Source organism: Homo sapiens, chromosome 5 (assembly GCF_000001405.40).
Source record: "Homo sapiens chromosome 5, GRCh38.p14 Primary Assembly".
Taxonomy (NCBI): domain Eukaryota; kingdom Metazoa; phylum Chordata; class Mammalia; order Primates; family Hominidae; genus Homo; species Homo sapiens.
In genome coordinates this window covers 129,456,233-129,478,833 of record NC_000005.10, presented here as the reverse complement: position 1 = coordinate 129,478,833, position 22,601 = coordinate 129,456,233, and the positions used below count along the sequence as shown (strand labels likewise).

Here is a 22,601-nt window from a genome sequence, read left to right as displayed (position 1 = left end):
GCAGTGGTTCATGCCTATAATCCCAGTACTCTGGGAGATGATAAGGAGGATCACTTGAGCTCAGCAGTTCAATACCAACCTGGGTAATACAGAGAGACCCCTCATCTGTACAAAAAAAAATGTAAAAACTAGCTGTGGCACACACCTGTAGTCTGGCAACTGGGGAGGCTGAAGTGGGAGGATTGCTCGAGCATGGGAGTTCGAGGTGGCAGTGAGCTATGATCACACCGCTGCACTCCAGACTGGATGACAGAGCAAGACCCTGTTTCTAAAAACAAACAAACAAAAAAAGGTAGGGGTTCCACTTTCTACGTATCCTTGTAGGTATGATTAAAAGGAGAATGTGGTACTTTTCCCATTCCTTGCAGATATGTTCCTTGCTATTTAAAATCCACCACTGACATAATATAGAAAGCTGTTTAATTATTTCATATATGTTTTAAATTTTAATAGCACCTTCAAAATGTCTAAGAGTATCCCACATTATTATTAAAAGATAAAATAAGCATGTGCAAACCAGATTTGTGCTAAGGAACTGATACTAAATTCTAGGTTATTATTTTATTAATGACAAAAAAATCACAATTGGTTTCCCTTACATAGCAACACCCTATAGAGCCCATAAAATATAATTTCATTTCTAAAAACTAGATTTACACACAAGCATTTGTTCAAGCCGGTCAGCTGTTTTCTACAAAGTATGTAACCTTACTACAGCCATAAGAATTTGTAAATACAGTTTATAATATACTTTAAAAACCTATGTTATCATCATGGTTATAACCATTTATATTATTGTGATGGTTCTCCGCTTTCTCTTTCACTTATATTGAATTTTTTTAACTCTCTAAGGCTAATTTATGGAAATCAATTTAAGAATACTGAGAATAGAAGGGGAAACAGGCACTGAACACATGGTTGAATGTGTATCTTCTACAGTGAGAGGTAATGGAAAGAAATGAGAGAAGGATTAAGTAGACAGTTGATTATGCAGTTCCAGTATAGAGTCTGATGTATTTTCTTACAATCCTATGCTGAGTTATTAATAGGTTCAGAACGTGAACATGTAAGACCATGTGACCAAGGACCCAAAAATTGGACACTGTGCACTTGTGAAGACTTCACAGCCAAAGGCAAGAGCAGCCAAGTTATTAGAACACTTACTAAAATACTACAACAGAGCTAACTATAGGCAAATGCTTTGGAGACCTTTTAAACCATATTAATGTGCAGTGTTAGGGTGTCCCCAAGGATGCTTTAGTATGTTACTCCAAAGCATTTCAAATGAAAATAGGGGTTTCCATATTCTTAAACTTAAAACACACTCTAAATACACATCAGTGGCTTTATTTTTCCTCTTTCATCTTTCCGCCCACTAACCTCCTTTATGATTGATTCTGCCTCCCTCATACGAAGGTTGTATCAATTCACACAAATTGTGTAATCTCTTGGGGCCTGACAAAAGAAGGAACTACAGAAATTGAAAATGCAAAATAAACAACCATGGACATTAAATTAGTAATGAAATCTATTTCTTTAATTTACTGTTTTATCAGCTAAGATTTGGAACTGACTTTCAAATGATACTTGGCTGTTTCCCTCTGACCATTCGAAAACATCTCTCCTGATAGAATTCCTAGTCATCATTTTATCCCTTAAAGCTCAAACTGAGTGTAAAACATACAGGAATAAAATTTTGATTTAATCTTCACCTACAGTCAACTTAAATAGAAGAAATTCAAGCATATTATTTAAAAGATTATAAAGATTTCCTGTGTATATCTATATATATTATTATTCTAAAGCAAAAGACTTAAATATAACCATTCAGATAGCATTCCCTTTTACTTCCTGAGCCAAGTGTTTCCAGGGCAACAGTTGCAACTAGAACTTTATAAATGTTCACTTCCAAAAATGATAGTGATTCCACATTTGCTTTCATATCAAATTTCATAACTCCAGGATGTCATTAGTGTCATAACACACCTCTATGTAAGAGCTACTAAAATGAGAAAATTTTCATTGGAATTAACTAAATACAGCATTTCTATCCTTTACTAAGTTTCTTTATCTCATTAATAAATTAATACTAATGGATTAACTATCTAAGGGTCTTTATTTCCCTAACATTTACTCAATCATAATTCCTGTGGTCTGGAGACAACTCTTGAAACTTACATTACCAGAGAGGAGATATTGGTTTGGTTTTTAATAAAAAGTACTGTACTGATATCCTTGGTTCTGTTTAACTAAACACATACAATAATTTTGTACAAGCTTACATTTAGAGAATAACTCTGAATGTTTGTGAGTGAAATCCACTTCCTGAAAAGATTAGTTTGGGTTTTGTTCATTTGTCCGTATTTGTTTGCTTGATTTGAACCCTGACCCTAACAACTTTGGTCTTTCTCATAGCAGTAGGACTGAAATAAGAGTGGAATCTGGAGTCTGAATCCTGGGTTCATGTCCTAATCCTGCAAAAACACTATCTGTGTGATTTCCTATTTTGTATTCCTTATTTGTATGCCTCCAAATGAGTAGCTTAGATTACTTGTTCTCATAAATCCTTTATGGAATTTAAATCTTGTTAGTGGTTTGAAATTGTTCATTTTAAATACTGTAATATGGACTACCAGTAGCTTATTTTGTTCTTTTTAATCAAGACTCCACTATTGTGTTTCAGGCCTACTGCTATGAAAAAGACCAAAGTTGTTAGGGTCAGGGTTCAAATCAAGCAAACAAATAAACAGCGTATTCAAAAACACACCCTACCAATTCTCTAGTAATAATCATTTTCACAGAGAAAAAAAAATAATCGGTTTTGCATTGTTTAAGATAAAATCTCTTCCAAAATGGAATTTCAGAAAACTGAATTTCAGATTAAGCTTAAACCCTCCTATCAAAGTCCAGGAAGTTTCTTTGAAGATACTGACAATCTGATCCTAAAATGTATATAGAAATATAAAGAGGCCAGAATGGCCAAAACAATTTATTTTTATTTTGAGATGGAGTCTCCTCTGTCTCCCAGGCTGAAGTGCAGTGGTACAATCTTGGCTTACTGCAACCTCTCCCTCCCAGCTTCAAGCAATTCTCATGCCTGAGTCTCCTGAGTAGCTGGGATTACAGGTGCCCACCACCCTGCTCTGCTAATTTTTGTATTTTTAGTACAGATGGGGTTTCGCCATGTAGGCCAGGCTGGTCTCAAACTCCTGACCCCAAGTGATCTGCCTGCCTCGGCCTCCCAAAGTGCTGGGATTACAGGCATGAACCACTGTGTCTGGCAGGCCACAACAATTTTGAAAAGAGAAAATTAAAATTAAAGGACTTAAATTTCCCAAATTCAAAAAATATTATAAGCTACATAAATCAATACAGTATGGTATTGACACGAAGATAAATATAGATCAAAACAACAGTATAAGTAGTTCAAAAATAAACTCGCACATTTGCGGTCAATTTACTTTTAACAAAAATGCTATGGCATTTCATGAGGAAAGTATGGTATTTTCAACAAATGGTGCTGAGATACCACTGGAGAAGTACATGCAAAGAGAAAAATTTACAGTCTCTTAACACCATACACAAAAGCTAATGAATCATAGGATTGAATGTAAAACTTTAAATTATGTAAATTATGGAAGAAAACAGGAGGAAGTCCTTGTGACTTTGGGTTAGACACTGAGTTCTTAGATACAACATCAAAAACATGTTCCATTAAAAAAAAAAAAGATAAACTAGATTTTTATCAAAAGTCTCAAAAATTGGCCTTAAAAGATACCATTAAGAAACTGAATAGATAGCGAGAGACTGGAAGAAAACATTAGCAAATCACTTGTCTGATAAAATATTTATATCCAGAGTATATAAAGAACTCTTAAAACTAAATAGTAGAAAAAAACTAATTAACAAGTTGGCAAAAGTTTTGAGTAGACATTTCACCAAAGATGACAAATATTACAATGGCTATGAACTGGCGCATGAACCTATGCTCAATATAATTAGTTACTAGGAAAACAGAATTAAAACCACATGAGATACCGCTGCACATCCACAAATGTAATCCAAAAGAGACAACAGAGGCACAAAGTAGATTAATGGTTGCCTGGGGCTGGAGATAAGAACAGAGTGACTCCAGATGGTTATAAAGGAGCCTTTGAGTTGATAGAAATGTTCCCAAACTAAGTTGTGGTGATGGTTGCACAATTCTGTAAATGTACTAAAAACCATTGAATTGTACACTTAAATTGGGAGATTTTTGTGGTATATAAACAAGTATTGTTGAGGATGTTGAGAAACTGGAATCCTCATACATTACTGGGGGGGAATATAAAATGATATAGTAATTTGAAAAAAAGTTTGGCAGTATCTTAAAATACTAAACAAATTTACTGTATGACCTAGTAATTGCAGTCCTAGGTATCTACCTAACAGGAGTGAAAATACCCATCTACACAAAGACATGTACACAAATATCTATAGTAGCATTATTCATAATAGCCAAAAAATGGAAACAATCCAAATGCCCACCAACTGATGAATGAATAAACAAAATGTGGTATTTCAGGACAGTGGAAATAATCCATGAAGAAAAAAAGAATGAACTACTGATACGTGCTACCACATGGATGAACCTCAAAAACATCATCATGCTAAGTGAATGAGGACAGACACAAATGACCAAATTTTATATGATTACATTTATATGAAAGACAAATCTATAGAGACACAGAGTAGATGAATGGTTGCCTGGGACTGTAGATAGGAACACAGTGACTGCAGATGGGGATGAGGGACCCTTCTAGTTGATGGAACTGTTCTAAAACTAAGTTGTGATGGTTGCACAATTCTGTAAATGAACTAAAAAACACTGAATTTTATGCTTAAACTGGGTGAATTTTAGGGTATGTAAATTATACCTCAAAAAAGATGTTGGAAAAAAGGGCATTCGCAATATCCTTTTTAGTTTGTTACATTTTAAATACTGATTTACCCTGAAAAAATCAGCCTGACATATCCATGAACGTATCTTACTAATGAGAGATAATTAGGGTGCACCTGGAAAAATTTCTACATAGGAACTTTCATTTTAAAATATCAATTCAATATATTTTAAAATATTACTAAATAGAACCACCTATTTTGAACTAACAAAATTTTAAGTGGCAATCTACAGAGAAATTATCCATGTTAGCAAACAAAATGGGGCACTAAATAATTAAATTTATGAACAGGCAGCTATTTTCACAATGAGTTACTCAACCTTTAAATGTGTCAATTATATTTATATACAAATATTATTTCCATGATGAATTACTCAAACTTTCTATCTTGTAATAAAAGTTTAAAGTTCTATTTACTTCATCTGTAAGAATATAACCAGAGTCAGACAACACAAACACCCTAGATATGTTAAGTATACACAATTTCCTCTGTCAGTAAGTTAATTGCCTATCTATAAATTGGGCAGACTAACATATTTGTTGGTAACATAATAATCTTATAATGGAAATGTACCTATCACATTTTACATAACATTCAAATCCCAATCATAATGGAGAAAGACCAAATGCATTAATCTGATTAGCTGATATAATCACCTGCCTGTCCACTGCTCTTGGCAGGTTAATTTTTTTTTTTTTTACTGTTTATTTTAATGAGTTTTACAGGACATTTGACATCCAAATACCTGGAATGTGAATGAGTAGAAAAGACCTGCTTTTTTATTTTTATTTTTATTTTTTTGTCATTTGAGAGAGTTTACCATTCAATTCTTATGCATTTTCAAGGTCCTTTTAACCTGAACATACTGCACTGCTATTCCAGGATAGATAACCTCTCACAAAGAGTTTACAATTTTCTCTTCACCACTGATTTTCTAATATCCCACTACAATGTGCCTCGGTCTTCCTTTATCCGCATCTGAACTTGGTAGTATGGTTGGTCCCTTTCAGTCTGAAGGTATATTTCTTCTTGTATTTCTGATAAATTTTATTATAACAAATATAATAATATAATGTATAGATAATACATAAATATAAAATTGTATTTAAGAAATATAATAACATAAATATATAACTATAATAATATTGTGAAACAGCTGGAGTAATTCTCCTGCTACAATTTTACTGATAAAATTGCTGATGACTGAAACTACTTACTTCTATTTAATATTTCCAGATTCTAGAATAGGAAGCAGATTTCAACTGTTGCTTTCTTTTTATTTGAAGAGTGGGAAAACACTTATGCTGGCATTAACGTTCCATTGTGTTATCTTCCAACTAGTTCACATGTATAACGTGTTGATTAATAATTTTAAATCCATAGAATCCTTTCTAGCTCACTAGCATCTGAGTCGGTTTCTGGGAGGATATTATTAAGTAAGGACAGGACGTATCTAATTTTACCATTACTGGAACTTTCCAAAAAGAGTATATACGGATTAAAATTCATGCAAGATCCTTAGGGTATGAAGTTTAGTGGATGCAAATCCAGTAGGAAAGAATCTTGAGCTCTGCTGTTTTCAGAGCCACTGGAGTGGCTGCCCTCAAATTTTAGCTTGCATAATGAGATACCATCTCACACCAGCCAGAATGGCTATTATTAAAAAGTCAAAAAATAGATCCTAGCAAGGTTGCAGAGAAAAACGAATGCTTATACACTGTTGATGGCAGTTTAAGTTAGTTCAACCATTGTGGAAGATAGTGAAGTGATTCCTCAAATACCTGAAAACAGAAATACCCCATTCAACCCACCAAGCCCATTACTGGGTATATACCCAAAGCAATACAAATTGTTCTATTATAAAGACACACACGTGTGTGAGTTCATTGCAGCACTATACATAATAGCAAATGCATGGAATCAACCTAACTTTCCATCAATGGTAGACTGAATAAAGAAAATGTGGTACATACACACTATAGAACACTGTGCAGCCCTAAAAGAATGATATCATGTCCTTTGCAGCAACCTGGATGGGGCTGGAGGCCATGATCCTTAGCAAAGTAACATAGGAACAGAAAATCAAAAACCACATGTTCTCACTTTTAAGTGGGAGCTAAATGATGAGAACACATGGACACATAGAGAGGAACTACAGACTCTGGGGCCTACTAGAGGGTGGAGGGTGGGAGGAGGGAAAGGATAAGAAAAAATAACTAATGGGTACTAGGTTTAATATCTGGGTGATGAAATAATTTGTAAAACAAATCCCCATCACACAAGTTCACCTACTTAACAAACCTGCACATGTACCCCTGAACTTGAAAGTTTAAAAAAAAAGTACCTTGTATTCTTTTTATTTATTTATTCATTTATTTAGAGACAGAGTCTTGCCTGCCTGCCTGCTTTCCTTCCTTCCTTCCTTCCTTCCTTCCTTCCTTCTTTTTCTTTCTTTCCTTCCTTTCTTTTCCTCCCTACCTCCTTCCCTCCCTATCCCTCTCTTTCTCTGTCTTTCTTTCATTCTTTTGAGACAGGGTCTCACTCTGTCACCCAGGCTGTAGTGCAGTGGTGCAATCACAGCTCACTGCAGCCTCTAACTCCTGGCTTCAGGTGATCCTCCCACCTTAACCTCCTGAGTAGCTGGAGCTGCAGGTATGTGCCACCACCCCAGGCTTATTTTTATCTTAGATTCTTTTTAACTTCATATTTTAGGTTTGTCATTCAGTCTGGAAGCCTTATTTTTAATAGAGACTTCCTCTACCAACTACCTCTACCTCACCAAACCACCCCCCACCACCCCCGCCCCCATACATCCCACCGCCTGATTTTGATCCTGATATCTACACACCACACTTGAAGAAACAGGACATCAAGGAGCATGGTCAAATGGCTGATGATGTAGCCTCACTGCAGAAGTGGTCTTATTTTAAGTAAAGCCAGGCTGAGGCTAGTAGACTACAAAAAGAGTTGAGGGCAAAATATCCTTATGTTTATCCTTTGAATGTGCTCAAGGAAAAAAAAACATATTTAGATTTCATTTATTTTAAACGGAAAACAATAGAAAAGCAGAAGCATTTGGTAATGCCCAAACTGGCCTGGGCTCACCAGCACCATTCCCTGATCATCTGAGTTAGAGTCTAAAGAGTTAATAATTTATTGCAGATATAGGCACATTAATTATGAGATGAAGTCAAGTTTCTCTCTCTGGAAAAGGCAGGCACTAAACTATCTAATCCCTAAGGTACTTCCCAACACCACCATGTAATAATTCTATAAAAATATCTGTGTAGCACTGGAATGGCTAAGCTCCCATTTTCTCACTTCTCTCAGTCTAGGGCTTGGCATCAGAATAATGATGAGATGGATGTGTTCACTATAGCTGCACCCTAAATGCACTCTGCATCAAATTATGGTTCTCACTTTGCTAAGAGAATCTTAAAACTTCCTTTCAGGAAACCTCCAAATCATAATTCAAGGGGGACTACTGGTTCTCCCACTGCTCCAAAACATATCCCACCTACCAGGAACCTGCAACTCCTCTGATTCTTCTTCATTTTGCAAATACAAAGACATAAAACCCTCTGGGTTAAAAATGTAATTGCAAATAAGTGGAAACATTCAATTGTGCATGAACTCAATAAATATGTGCTCTGTTTTAGTGTTGCATAAACATATTTTCAGGCTCTTATAAAGAATTTTGTTATTTAAAAGAATACTATATGATTCAGTTAACAAACTTCAAATAAATGCATACAATTATTTATTCATTATTAAATAAAGAAAATTTCTTCTCACAAAATTGGCCCATGTCTCAAATCTCTGAGAATGAAGACATAGGTTAATATATGATTAAATAGTTTATTTTTAATGTACGATGTAGCTTATTCGATCAGCATCACAATTCTGTTTATTCACTATGTAGCTTCCTTTAATGAAGACTGATGTATCTACATATTGCCCCTCTCATAATCCAGAAACTTCTCTCACATGTAACTATATTATCCATGCCACTCTAATGCTAAACTGGAAATCCACAGAATGCCATAAAGGTAGGTACACTTAAAAACCAGTTATTTTATTAATAAGGAGAGATTGAGTACTTACTAAATCGAATAACTGTGATGAACTCTAAAAGGATAAAAAGTTGAGACAAAGAAAATGGTTCCTTCAAAACTGTAAACACCTTGAAGCAAAGAACTGTTTCTTTTATCTTTTCATTCTCCTGGCCTTCAGCATAATATATAGATACAACTAGTCCATTACTGCTGAATATCTAGAGAGTTCTAAGTTCTGCAATGAATAGGTTTATACATAAACCTTTTGCACATATATAGATATTTCTCTAAAATTGACAACTATAAGCAGAATTGCTAAAAAGAAGGGTAAGCATATTTAATGTTCTAATAGATACTACACAAAAGTATATATTGACTCTACAAATTTACTCTCCTACAAGGTGTAAGATTAAATGTTCCCCAATTATGTCCACTAGATAGTCTCAATCTGCATAATTTGTGCCAATCTTATAAACCAAAAAAGATGTTTGAGAAAATTTGCTTTTTCTAGCTTACCAACAAATCTTCTGAAAATTGAGGTTTATTTTATATGTTTATGTCCTTTTCAGCATAAATACTAAAAAGTTAGTTGTCTATCTCTGGATGGTAAAATTACAGATTATTTATTTTATATATTTTCTAAATGTCCTATACTTAGAATATATTATTTTGTAATTAACATTTGTCTTTTTAAAATACTAATATATAAAGAACTTTGGAATTAGAAATAAAAATATATAATAGAAAAATAAGTAAAAGATGGCCTGGTGTGGTGACTCACACCTGTAATCCCAGCACTTTAGGAATCTGAGGTGGGCAGATCACCTGATGTCAGGAGTTTGAGACCAGCCTGGCCAACATGGCAAAACCCCACCTCTACTAAAAACACAAAAATTAGCTGGGTGTGGTGGCAGGCACCTGTAATTTCAGCTACTTCGGAGGCTGAGGCAGGAGAATGGCAGGAACCCAGGAGACGGAGGTTGCAGTGAGCCAAGATTGCCCCACTGCACTCTGGCCTGGCCGACAGAACAAGAATCCATCATTAAAATAATAATAATAATAAGTAAAAGATATGAATGGAAAGTCTACAGGAAAGGAAATGAGAATAAAAAATATAAAGACACTCAACCTCACCATAACAACAAAAAATGTAAATTACAACTATATTAAGATAACATCAATCTTTGGCCAGGCACAGTGGCTCACGCCTGCAATCCCAGCACTTTGGGAGGCCAAGGTGGGCGGATCATGAGGTCAAGAGATCGAGAAAATCCTGGGCAACACGGTGAAACCCCGTCTCTACTAAAAATACAAAAATTAGCTGGGCGTGGTGGTGCGCGCCTGTAGTCCCAGCTACTTAGGAGGCTGAGGCAGGAGAATTGCTTGAACCCGGGAGGCAGAAGCTGCAGTGAGCCGACATCGTGCCACTGCATTCCAGCCTGGCAAAAGAGTGAGACTCCGTCTCAAAAATAATAATAATAATAACATCTTTTATCTATTAGATTTCACAAAGGTCAAAAATTTTAATAATAACGTCCATACTGGTAACAGGACATGGGAAAGAGAAACTCTCCTACTCTCCTGGTCTGAGACTGTAAAGTAGCACCATCTCTATGGGGTACAATTAAGCAATCTCTCTCCGAATTACCAATACTCATGCCCTTTAACATAGATATACATTAGAGGCAAAACAGCTTTTCTACAGAATCCTATATATTTAGCCTTGTTCTTAATAGGAAAATATTGTATTCAATCAAATATCCAGGAACACCAAACTCATTAGGTAGATTACAAAAGATCCTTGCAATCAGATATAAGAGGACGTAAAAAAAGGGGAATCTCTTTACACACTCAATTGTGGTAATACCACGTGTGTGTGTGTAAATAGTATGGGTTTTTAAAAAGCTGTAAGTGTATACATGTATATATATTTGTCTATGCATAAACTACCTCCAGATCAGACACTATAAGCAGATAACCCTGGTTACCTCTAGGATGGAAAACTAAGTACTAACCGGGGAATAGGTATTTGAGGAAGATTTTTCATTGCATACCTTTTTGGAGATTCTGTGTGGTAACACCTGAGTCCTTATAATTTTGCAAATGATTTTACTTTGGCCTCAGATTTGAATGGTGTTTTGTGTGACCATATAATCCAGGATTTTAAATGACTCTTCCTCAGAATCCTGAAGTTACCTGATCCTCTGGCACCCAGTATTACTGATTCAATCCTCTAAAGTCAATCTGACACACATCCCACTGTAGATCATCTCTCCTCTATTAAATGCATACGATTTTCTCTTTCTCTTTGATTTTCTAATATTCTGTGAATGTATATCTAGATTTGGGTCCCTCTTATGCCATGCTGAGTTTTGTGGTTGGTCCTTCAATCTGAAGGTTTGTGTCTTATTTCTGATAAATTTGTTTCTGACGCTGAAAAAGGGGTCTCTTAACCTCTATCTAACTAACCTTGGTTATATCAACCAATTCAATTAGAACCACTGGTCTCTTAACCTCTCCCTAACTAATCTTGGTTATATCAACAAAATCAACTAGAATCGCTGACTTAATACGCCACACACCATCTGGAAAATATGTCACTGAGGCATACAGCATGCTGAATGCTCATAGCTAGCAGACGCTTCCTTTGTCTTACAGCATACAACCATTTCCACCAGTCAGCCTGTGACAAGAGTCAGCCATATTTGTCTGAACACAGGTAGGTACAACATTCTGTAATTGTATAATTTAATCAATATTTAAATATTAAATAATTAAATCTGAGTGCAAAATACGTTTTTGTTTCTGTGAACACTTTGGAAAAATAAGAAAGTTGTTTAAAAATTTTGCTATAATTTTGAAATGAAACAATTATAAAGAATAACAATTTTTAAAATCAAGCATTCTACACATAAACTGCTTTCCATGTCTTTATTTTTAATTCCAAATATGGAAACCTGTGTTGAAAATTGCTTTTGGTGTATGCTGAGCAAGGATCATCCAGAACACCACTTATCTCATCTACCCTCTACCCTCAAAGAAGTAATATCTGGCCTCACATCCAAAGTGTAACTGATAGGTAGCGTATAACGGCATGTATTTTTACAATTCAGTCTTTATACTGATTTTTTAAATGCATTCCTATTAGAGAAATATTTGATCTAGACCTATTAATCAATGGCTTACAACTATTTTATTATTATTATTTTATATTCATTTGGCCCTTGTATTGTGTTCTGGGATAATTTCTGGGTTTGATCTTCCATATCACAAATTTACCTATCAACTCATCTATTGAGTTTTTATTCTAACAAAAATATAATTTCAGTTCCATTGTATCTAACCTTTTTTTTATGGATAGCAGTTTGTTCCTATTTTTTTAATTTATTTTTTCCATGAATATATACCTGCTCTTTTTCTTCTGGGCATTAGATTTCTGTTATTCTATTTATTAATTTTTTGCTTCTTGTATTAATTAACAAGAGTTTGAGACTCTTAATATTATTTTCTTCAAAATGTAATATTCCTGGGTGTCAGCTCATCTTTTCTTGGTTTCCCTGCTCACCTATCTGTTGTAACTAGTTCAGTTTACTCAGCTCTCCTTGAGTTAGAGACAGATGGGACCTTTGACTCAGTGCAAGAAGCCAACAGCTCATCTTTTGAGAGTAGAGACTATTTCCTGGGTGTCACCCACAGGCCTGGGTAAGCTCTGCCTCTATTCTCTGTTCCTGTGTTAGCGACACATATGTGGCTTCCGGTGCTTGGCAGAATGGGATAACAGAAAAAAGAAATCCTGCTCTTGTTCTAGGTACGTTTCTGCTCACTGCATTGCCTTTCCCTGCATGTACAGCGGCACTTCTGGCATGGCTCCTGCAAGTCACAGATGTTTTCTAAAGTCTATATGTTTCCCTTAATCCAAGCCAAACTGTTTCAATCTTTCAGGAGATATTTGAAATATCTGATGTCCTGATGACATTCTCTTCTAATACTGCTTTATATTTATTTAGAATATCTTTTCTATCATTCCTAAGATTTTGCTTGAATGAAGAAAGTAGACATATGAGGTCAGTCTGTAATCTTAATTTTTTCATTTGGATGTTGACTGATTCCACTGGTTCTCCTCGTTATGTGTTTATTTCTCTTTACCCATTCCTGCCCTGACAGCAGCTTTCACACTGCTAACTGATATACTGCCTTGTCTAAATGGGAGTCACAAAAATATTTAATTGTTTAAAACTTTCCACAGAATACAATACTTTAATGCAAATAAGATAAAAAATAATTGAATTTACAAAAGGCTCCAGATTCTGTATCAAAAGCTAATCAAAAAGACTACTGTATAAAACTCTTAATTTAAGTAGGAAAAGGTGGCATTAGTTTTAGTATCTACACTTCATCATCTGGAAAAAATAATCTAAGTAGTCTGCCATGTCAATAGTCCATTAAAAAAAAAATAGGCCAGGTATATACTAATATAGCTTATTTTGGCCCAGCGCTTATAAGCATGTTTTTAGAAAAAAAAAAAAAAAAACATTGTGTTAACTTTGAGCAAAGATAATTGTTGCACAGTTTCATGGGATTTAATTTATTGCTTTTGTGTGTTTTAATTTTTAAAGATGATTTTAAAGTAGCATAAAGTACTTCATGTGTTGTATTTTATTATTCAGTGATTTTTATTGAGTGCCAACTAAAAAGTAAAGTGTTGGAAATGAAAAGAGATGAACAAGACAGTGTCATCAGATCACTCATGGTATAAGTGTATTTTCACGTATCTCAACCTATTGTATTTCCCTGTTTTCATTGGTAACTGGCAAGTTAGGTTGAGGGCCCTGTGAAATATATCGAGACTGCTTCATCTTCTTTTTGTATTCTCTATATCTGGAAAAGGCCTTAGTCATAAGAGTTGTTCAATAAATGTTTAATTGATTAGTGGTAGTATATTTGCATGCTTATAAGATCTAATATATGACTCAAATAAGACTGTTATTCAATAATACACTAATCAGAACAAACAAAAATAATAACACTTCACAGATCAATTGCTAGATATATAAGTACAATTTGTACATTTTATATAGAGAGAGATCCAGATATGAGATCCAGAAAGATTAAAAACTTTGAAGAGGCAGGCTTTGCCCCTGTATCCAAAATCTCCATTCTGGCACTTATCCTTTGATAACACAAGTTAGAGTAGTACCTGGAGAGTGAAATGGTCAATCTTATAAATGTTCACTTTACTGGATAGCTGATGTTCTATTTCCTTTGGTACAGACTTTTGGATCCTTTTAAATATTTAATAATCCAAAAGATATTGAAAAGTTCAGGTACCAGTAGGCAAAGCTTACTATCAAGAGAGGGTAAGGGAAGGTACAGTTAGTGAACTACCCTCTTCTCTGCAACTGACAATAAGAAAGCTTTCCCTGAGAAGAAAATAATTGTTGCAAACTCATGGCCATTGCATTTATAAATGATTCACCATCTCTATATAAAGGCATCATAATTCCTCACATTAGAATTACAGGATCACAGAATTCTTGAGATATAAAGGAAGAGGTAAGAAGTTCTATGACTATTCAGTTAGAAAAAGCCCATATTCTTGCAGACAAGGCTTTTGAAGTTTGATCTCTAGACATTTTAAGATCATTTCTCTCTATTGCATCTTCTGGCCTAGTCATAGGAGACATTCTTTATCATTCCCTTGACAGGTCCTGCATTTTCATGCCTGCACTCAGTCTCCTCCCTCTACCTACAACACTCCAGCTTTTTTTTCTGCCTGGTGAAATCCTCTCCATGTTTTAAAATCCAGTTCAACTTCTTCTGCTTTGGGAAGCATTCCCCACCTCTCCCAAGGGATTTTTACCTTAGCATAACATTTGATTCATCATGCTGGTCTGTCACTGTCTTGTGACTACTTGTGTCATTTCCACTTACAGGTGATATCTTTCTCTTAACTTGTGAGCCCCTAAAAGGCAGAACATTCTATCCCCTAAACAAGGGACCTATAATACATTAAATATCCAATAGAATTTTAATCCCATCATTCAATTTTTTAAATTAAATCATCTAATTCTCTAATTTTACTTATGGAAACTGAAGCCTAAAGAGATAAGGAGCTTGTCAATCATCAGGGAACAAACCTCTTCCAGAGTACAGATAACAGCTCACTCTTTCCTTATCCACCAGCTCATAAGGGAACAGGGCTGGCATGTTAGAGTCTAGAGTAACAAACCCACCCTTCTTGGCTATTTGCTTAACTTTTTTACTGAAAATCTAACTCCTAACACTGGCAATGGCAGTTTTCCTCAATAACAAAGACTTCCCAGTTTAGAACATATACATATGTAGCTAATAGGAACAGTGAGTAAAAGTCCAACATGATAAACAGGGATGTATGTCAAACTCCTATTCAGTCTATGAAAAACCTACTTATAATTCTTTTTTTATAAATACTTTAAGTTCTAGGGTACACGTGCACAACCTGCAGGTTTGTTACATACAAAAAACCTACTTATAATTCTAACTTTGCTTCCTTAAGTATGGAGAGAAGGAATAGGTCATTTGGAAAATCTGACCAAAAGTGCACATTTCAACACAGTGAAATTCTTTATCCCCCATTGCTACTACCACACCAGGAACTTTCTATATGTGATTATTTAATCCCCAGCCAAAAGCTAGTGGACAATGAAATCTCCACAAAATGTTTTCCCCAGTGAAATGTTCAAACATCAGTTCCACATAAAACCTTTTAATAAAAGCTTCTCATGTAATTTTTCCATGCCAATTTTTTTCAATTATGCCTAAAAATGCCCGTATTTGAATATTCATCATTATGAGTACTGTCCAACAGTTTACATCATTTGACTATGGGATCTTGGGTCAGGGGAGGTGGTAGTTTTGGGTGGCTTTGATTGTGCTGATATTTTCTGCTATCCACTGCTGTTGGATTTTCTCCAAATGAGCAGTTTGCTTCCATGCAAGTTCTTGTGGATTTCTCAGTGGCTCACTATGAACAGCAAAATGAAGCCACAAATCACAAGTGCATTTTTGATATTTTATGAGTTTTGTCTTAAACCAATTAATAGTAAAGCCTATGGTGGTGGCAACAACCATAAAGGACATGGTGGTGTTGCACAACAACGTGAATGTACTTAATGCCACGTACCTGTACATCTAGAAACAGTTAAAATAGTAAATTTTATGTTATGCATATTTGACCCCCCCACACACACACACACACAAAGGTCAACTTATAGAAGCTTGTCCCAACCCCTGAATCGTGACAGAGGGAGAAAAATCAAATGATGTTCTACATTGACAGAGCAAATGGCTTTTACTTTCCATCCCAACAGGCCTTTTAACAAGGCTCTCCACCTTGCTCCTTTCCTCCAAAAAGTGGAAAGAAGAAAAGGAACTACTGTCAAATGAAATGTAAATCACAGAACCATAACCCTTTGAACACAGATCGGATTCTAATGTCACCCGTTACTCAACCTCCAGTCTCTCAGTTGAGTCCCTCCCAACTCCTTTCACAAGAACAGTGAACAGGTGTCCAGTATGACTCTGGATGTGTTTAAATTCTAGACAACTGTCAGAGTAATCCCCTATAGAACTGTTCTTTCAACTTTGAAGTAGGTTATGAAAAAGCTCTAAGATAACAGATGAGGAACTGAGAGTGCGGCGCAAACACGAAGGAGATTCATCAGTGAGCCGACTGGTTGTCTTTCGAGTTCCTAAAAGACATCACGTGGAGCGCTTAGTTTGGAAAACTCTGGAGAACAGAAAGAAGTTGAGCCATTGGGAAGAAGTTACGAAAAGGCAGAGTTTCACGCAGTTTTGAAAGACACATAACCATCTGGAAGGAGAAGGCCATTTATCCACCCAATTAAACTTCCGATTTACACAACTGCCCTGGAGATGTTCCATGGGAGGCAAACGATGTAGACACCTGGGGGTGCAGTCTAGGGCCAAGCTCAAAAGGAGCACACTGAAAGGGGAGAAGGTGCATGCAAATCATCCTGACCTATGGGCAAGGAGAGGAGCAGCAGGGGAAAATGGAGAGCTAGGGAAAGAAGGCGCTTACCAGGCCACCTCCACAGGTGCTGAAAGAAGCCAGCGAGCCAGGGTGCCGCAGCACAGCTCCGGTGTAGAAGCAGCCTGCGTCTGGTGGCGCGGGAGGTTGCGGGGCGGATGCTGCCCCCGTGGGGCCGGGGCCGGGATTTGGCCGCTGTTCCACTGCGAAGCGCGGCGCCAGGAAGCGGCCGTCTCTCCGGAGCAGCAGGTACAGGTCCCGAGAGAAGGCCGGGATCCGCAGCAACACTTCGTCGCCATCCGGCTCGGCATGCTGGGCCGGGGGCGGGGACGGGGGCGGCTGCGGGGGAGGCGGCGGCTGCCACGAGGCCGGGGCGCCCGGGGACAAGGCGGCAGCCCCGCTGGATCCCCGCGGCAGCTCCTGCGACTCGAGCTCCTCGTCCTCCTCACCCTCCGACGGCGGCGGGGGCCGGAGCCGGGACTCTGATCGGCCCTCCACGGGCTCCTCCAAAGGCACCGGAGCCACAGAGCGCACCTCGCGTGAGCTGCCGGCAGCCTGCGCCCGGGCGCTTCCGCCGCCCCCAACGCCGCGCACCCAGCCCGGGTCCGCGCTGCCCCCGCTGCCGCCAGCCGGGTCCACCGGCTCCCGGCGCCAGAGCGCAGGAAACACGACTTCCCACTCCTCGCGGTCGGGGGCGAACTGCAGCTCTGCGGGCGGGGCAGACAGAAGTGCGGGGCTTAAAGTGCCGCGGTTCCAGTAGCACAAACATTTCCAAGCTCACAGTCCATAGATACAGGGCGCTCGCGTTGAATGCAATGGAGACCACCCGTCTAGACCCTGAAACTCTGCAACCCCAGAAGCCTTGCGATCAGATTACAGACCCCAGCATTTTCAGAGTAAAAGTACGATTATATTAGGGGCGGGGGAGGGGGAATCAAAGTTTGGTGACCGCACTTCATTGTTGAAAAGAAAACCGATGCAAAGACTCCAGCACGAGTAAACGATTTCTGAAGTGTATGCTAGAGCAGAGCGTTGCTATCAACTTAGGTACGTTCTAATTTTCCTCCAGGTGCTGTAAACGTACCTTTGCAAATATTATTGCTCTAATTAGAAGGAAACTATTCCACATACGGTTAAAACGAGGCCGGCAGAAGTGTGCTTCATTTCCGAACTTGACCCCTTAACCTGCACCTCAAGCTCATTTTTATTGCTACCCACTGAGCCCTGCTCTCCACGCACCGGTTGCACCAGCCCTGCCGACCCGTACGTTCGCGGTCTCCGCTGGGATGGCTGGAAAGGAAGCGAGAAAGTCACGGAAGAACTTACCTGAAACGATCCCATTCGACAGGAACCCCAGCTGGTAAAGGAGGCAGCAGCAGCAGATGTGAGTCAGGCGCATCTCGCGGTTCTTCCCCATACTGCGCTCCCGCGGCCGCGGCTTCTCGCCCGGCGCACGCCTCCAGCGCGATCCACTCCGGGGCGCAGCGGCCTCCCCGGAGCGCTAGGAGGCCGGGCGGCGAATTTGCCCAGGCCCTTTGTCTGCCGGGGGAGGGGGTGTTGGGGTGGGGGGGTAGGCTGTGTGACTCCGGGAGGCCGCCGAAGCCCTGGCGGGGGTGGGGTGGGGTCGGGTTGGGGGAGGAGCGGGGGAGGCAGCCCCGCGGCCCCGCAGCCCTCGAGCTCCCTGGCGAATTAGGAGATGAGTCTATTTTCTGTGTTCTGGACGCTGCAGGAGTTTCCGAGGCCGAGCAGGCTAGTGCTGGAGCCCCACAAGACAGACCCACAGCCAGCCGAGAGCCGGGAGTGCTGCCTCTGGACAGGCAGAGGACTGCCCGGCGCGGGCAGGAGAGCTGTGGTGTCCGAGCCGAGGCTCGCCGCCTGCACCCGCGCGGAACGGGCGGAGGCTGGTGTCACAGTCTCAGCAACTTGGTGTGCCAAGCTCCGCACACTCCTCACGCTCCTTAGGACGCACCGCTGAAGGCTCTCACCCGCAGCGGCGCGGGAGGGAATGAGTAGGGAGATGGGAAGACACGACTAGAGAGGTGGGTTGTAGAGCAGAAAAGAATCAAGCACATCTGACCAGAAAAAGGGACCAAGGGGTGCCCGCCAAGCGTGACTTTGCGGGACAAAGGTCCCAGAACACCGTGCACGTGCTCAAACGCCGGTTGGGATGGGGTGGGGACCCAAAATCCCTCACCTGACTATTGATTGGCCACTCGGGAAGGCCTGATTTGCATCCATCCCCTGCCCCCGTGTGCAGGTAGAGGTGCCTCCCCCTTCCCATCCCACTCCTCAATCCAGCGCCTCTTTTTGTCAAATTCGCACATCACACAAGGCAAAAATTAGTGCAGACTTGACCACAAAACTGAGGCCTCATTTATCAAAGGCCTTTGATTTGTCTTCCCATCTTTTTCGGAATTTTCTAAGCCCGGAGATAATGTAATTCGTCATGGAATATGCTTTAAAGTTTCCCAGGACAGTAGGCACCCTTAGGTTTCAGAGCCTCTTTTCCTTCCTTGTCTTTCTAGCTCCCCATTCATCAGTACTATCAGTTTCTCTCCTTCCCCTACCCCACCCCATTACACACACACACACACACACACACACACACACACACACACGAGTCCTAAAAGGAGTAAGAGTAAGGGAATCAACATTAAACATTATATTCTAAAGATCTCAGACCAGGTGAGATTATTTTGTCTTCTGTACTTTTTACTTGTACATAAAAAAATATGTTTTTGCTGTTTCTGTCCTCTTTGGGGCAATTCAACCCCATATATTTTTTTTTCCTTTGTTGCAATTCTCTTCATGGTACCTACTCCCCTTTCCACAACTCTCCCTCAGCCACATCAAAGCGTTCACATCCGATTTAAGGATGATTGATCTGAACTGCCATTTGCATCCTCTGGACTAGGCCAGACACCTAGAAATGATAATTAATGCAAATCAGTTTTTTTTTTTTTTAATTCCAGAACTGAGGTTGGTTCACCACTTCCTTTGTTATTTTACCTTCTGTTCCTTGTGTCAAAGGTGACTACTATGCCTTTAAGGGAAGCAGACGATCTTATTTCAAAGGAAAGCCATTGTTTGAATTAGCTGAGTCCTATAATACTTTCTTTGAGTTGTCCAGAGTTTAGAAACAAAGGCAAAAACACTCAAGGTGACTTTGTCAAGAGTGATCTGCCTCTAAACGCTGTCTTATAAAATCTCTAATGCTGGAGTAACTAACATGTGGGTTTCCAGATGCTCAAGAAATATCTGGGTTACTTAGAAACCTAAATGCTTTTTTTCATGAGACTCAATTTTACAGATTTAAAGCTAGGCAAAAAATCAGAGGCAGTTTATTTTTTGAGTATAGCAAGCTATTTAGATTGAAAGCTAATTTCAATGAAACACCTCCAGTAGGAGATGAGTCTTAACACGTTTCTCACACATATTTTAACAACAACAACAAAAAGCAGAACTGAAGGAATAATGCATATTAAATTGTATATATTTATTAGAGTACATTCATGATTTTTTAAAACCAAATGAGTTGTATAACTAAGTTAAATATACTCAGAAGCACAGCTTACCAATGTAAGTTTGCATTGCTGCCTTTTTTTCCCACTAATATATAATCTTTACCAATCCTTCATGGTAAAGGTTAATATTGTTATGGAAAGATTTGTCTAATTCCCAGATAACTCTTCTCTTTTTTCCCTTTTGAAATACTGTTATAATTTATTTACATATTTTAGAGACATTTATAAGTCATTTGGGTTTTAATGACTTATGTACTTATTTCTCCTACTAGACTATCAATGTTTTTGAAAGGTAGGAATGATTTCTTTTATATATCACCCTGACTAATTCAAGGATTTACACTGAATAGGTTCAGAAATTATCAGGAAATTCTCTCCAAGGTGCTTTAGAAAGTGATAGAAATTGATTTGTCTATGGTATTTTGTTCCAATTTGAATTCCTTGATCAGGAGTTGCAACACTAACTCTGCTGGTGATTAGCAACTATCAACATGACTTATCTGGTTTACAGAAGGAACAGGCCTAAGAGAGAAATGTGTGGGGAATTTTTGTGCTCTAGGAGAGACTTAGATATGCAAGTGAGAGCGTCCGTTAAAGTGAATTCAAGTACCTATGTATATAAAAGAAAGAACTAGCCTAATTTGGAATTGAGTAAACTGTGTGTGGTGAAATAGAGAAGAAAAGGCAGGACTGAGGCATGTGTGTGCATTACCAACCTTAGAGGAAAGAAAAGAGCAGCTGGGAAAAATATGTTGGTAAGACAGATCACTATATATGTCACCAGATGGTAGCTAGCACCAATAGAGCACTGCTTTTGTGTTCTCAGAATAAGGACAGAAGGAGAAGAGGTAAATGACAAAGCATCAGAGTAAGTGGAATCAACTGTTTTGGTGCTGATATTGCCATTTATAATCCAGGCTTCTCCATATAGAAAGTTGGCCTTGATGCTGTCAAATCTCCCTTATTCTCTTCACTCACTGGTACTAAGCCCCTCACAACCTAATCTTACCCTAGGTTAAAATTAACCTAAGCTAATCTTAAATCCACCCGCCCTCCCCCAACCAAATTCTTAAAATCTTGAGAAAATACAAAGAACCCTTTCACTGAGTTCCATGAAGATACCAACTCCCAGTAGAACTCACATCTAAATTGACATCAAGTCCTAAGCTAGTTCTGGCCATAATGGAATTACAGGGACCATAGTTAACTCTCACCTTAGGAAATTAGAAAACATAATAAAAGTTTTTAGACATTGGACAACAGGCAGCCTAGGGTTATGACTTAGGAGAGAAGAGAAGTAAATGAATTGATCACTACAATTTCCCCAGCTTACAACCTGGAGGCAGTTTCAGGACTTAACACAGAGAGAAGAAAGCCAAACAGAGCCCTGAAGACAAGCTGAGTTGAGGAGGCAGAGAAGGAGGCTAGAATTTATAGGGCAGAGTATCAGAAAGGAGGGAACTACACAGAGAGTGAATCAGTTATCTATTGCTACATAACAACCTTAGCAGTTTAAAACAACAAACAATTTATCATCTGACATAGTTTCTGAGAGTCAGGAATCGAAGCCTGGATAAGCCCAGGTATTTCTGATTAAGGCTGTCTCTCAAGTTTGCAGTCAAACTCTTGGCCAGAGCTATAATTTCAGCAGACTTAACTGGAAGAAGAGGTTCTGCTTTCAAACTCACTTGGTTATTGACAGGAAGCTCAGCATCTTGCTACACAGGTTTTCCCATAGGGGCTGCTCATTACATGCATTCCCCCAGAACAAGTGATCTGAGAGAGAGAGCACCCAAAATATAGCCATGGTCTTTTTAAACCTAATCTTGAAAGTGACATACCACCACTTCTATCATATTCTCATCATAAAAAACAAGTCACTAAGTCCAGCCAACATTCAAATGGGGAAATATCAAAGAATTTGTGGACATATTTTTAAAACCATCATTGTCTGCCTTGACCATAAATTACTAGAGAACTTCAAAAAGTATGTGGAAAATGGAAGTAAAAGGCAAAAATAAAAAAAATATAAACTTTATTTCTCAACATAAG

The 22,601-nt window shown here is 38.6% G+C and overlaps 1 protein-coding gene and 1 long non-coding RNA gene across 10 annotated transcripts in view, besides 1 other annotated feature; one reads left to right on the top strand and one right to left on the bottom strand.

Moving 5' to 3' along the window:
- The window catches only part of ADAMTS19 (ADAM metallopeptidase with thrombospondin type 1 motif 19), a 278,386-nt gene extending 259,850 nt beyond the window's left edge, over positions 1–18,536 (bottom strand). For 5 of the 9 annotated variants that reach the window (XR_007058587.1, XM_011543246.3, XM_047416880.1 and 2 more), the window contains exon 1: positions 18,352–18,536. Coding sequence is in view for 8 of the 9 variants with exons in the window: in XM_011543246.3 (XP_011541548.1) it covers positions 18,352–18,366 (15 nt within the window). In the remaining variant the exon portion in view is untranslated. Of the gene's footprint in view, positions 1–17,076; positions 17,733–18,351 lie in introns of all 9 variants that reach the window. The other 4 variants (XM_047416876.1, XM_047416878.1, XM_047416877.1 and 1 more) reach the window with 1 other exon arrangement.
- ADAMTS19-AS1 (ADAMTS19 antisense RNA 1) lies at positions 18,145–19,275 on the top strand. The gene is made up of 2 exons (NR_125748.1): positions 18,145–18,409; positions 18,755–19,275. It is a non-coding gene; the product is annotated as an ADAMTS19 antisense RNA 1 (long non-coding RNA).
- Positions 18,615–19,577: an enhancer, noted in NCBI's record as "H3K27ac-H3K4me1 hESC enhancer chr5:128794950-128795912 (GRCh37/hg19 assembly coordinates)". NCBI's record gives its function as "activates a minimal SCP1, AML or CMV promoter by ChIP-STARR-seq in primed H9 embryonic stem cells {active_cell/tissue: H9 hESC(primed)}" and the evidence as "EXISTENCE:reporter gene assay evidence [ECO:0000049][PMID:30033119]".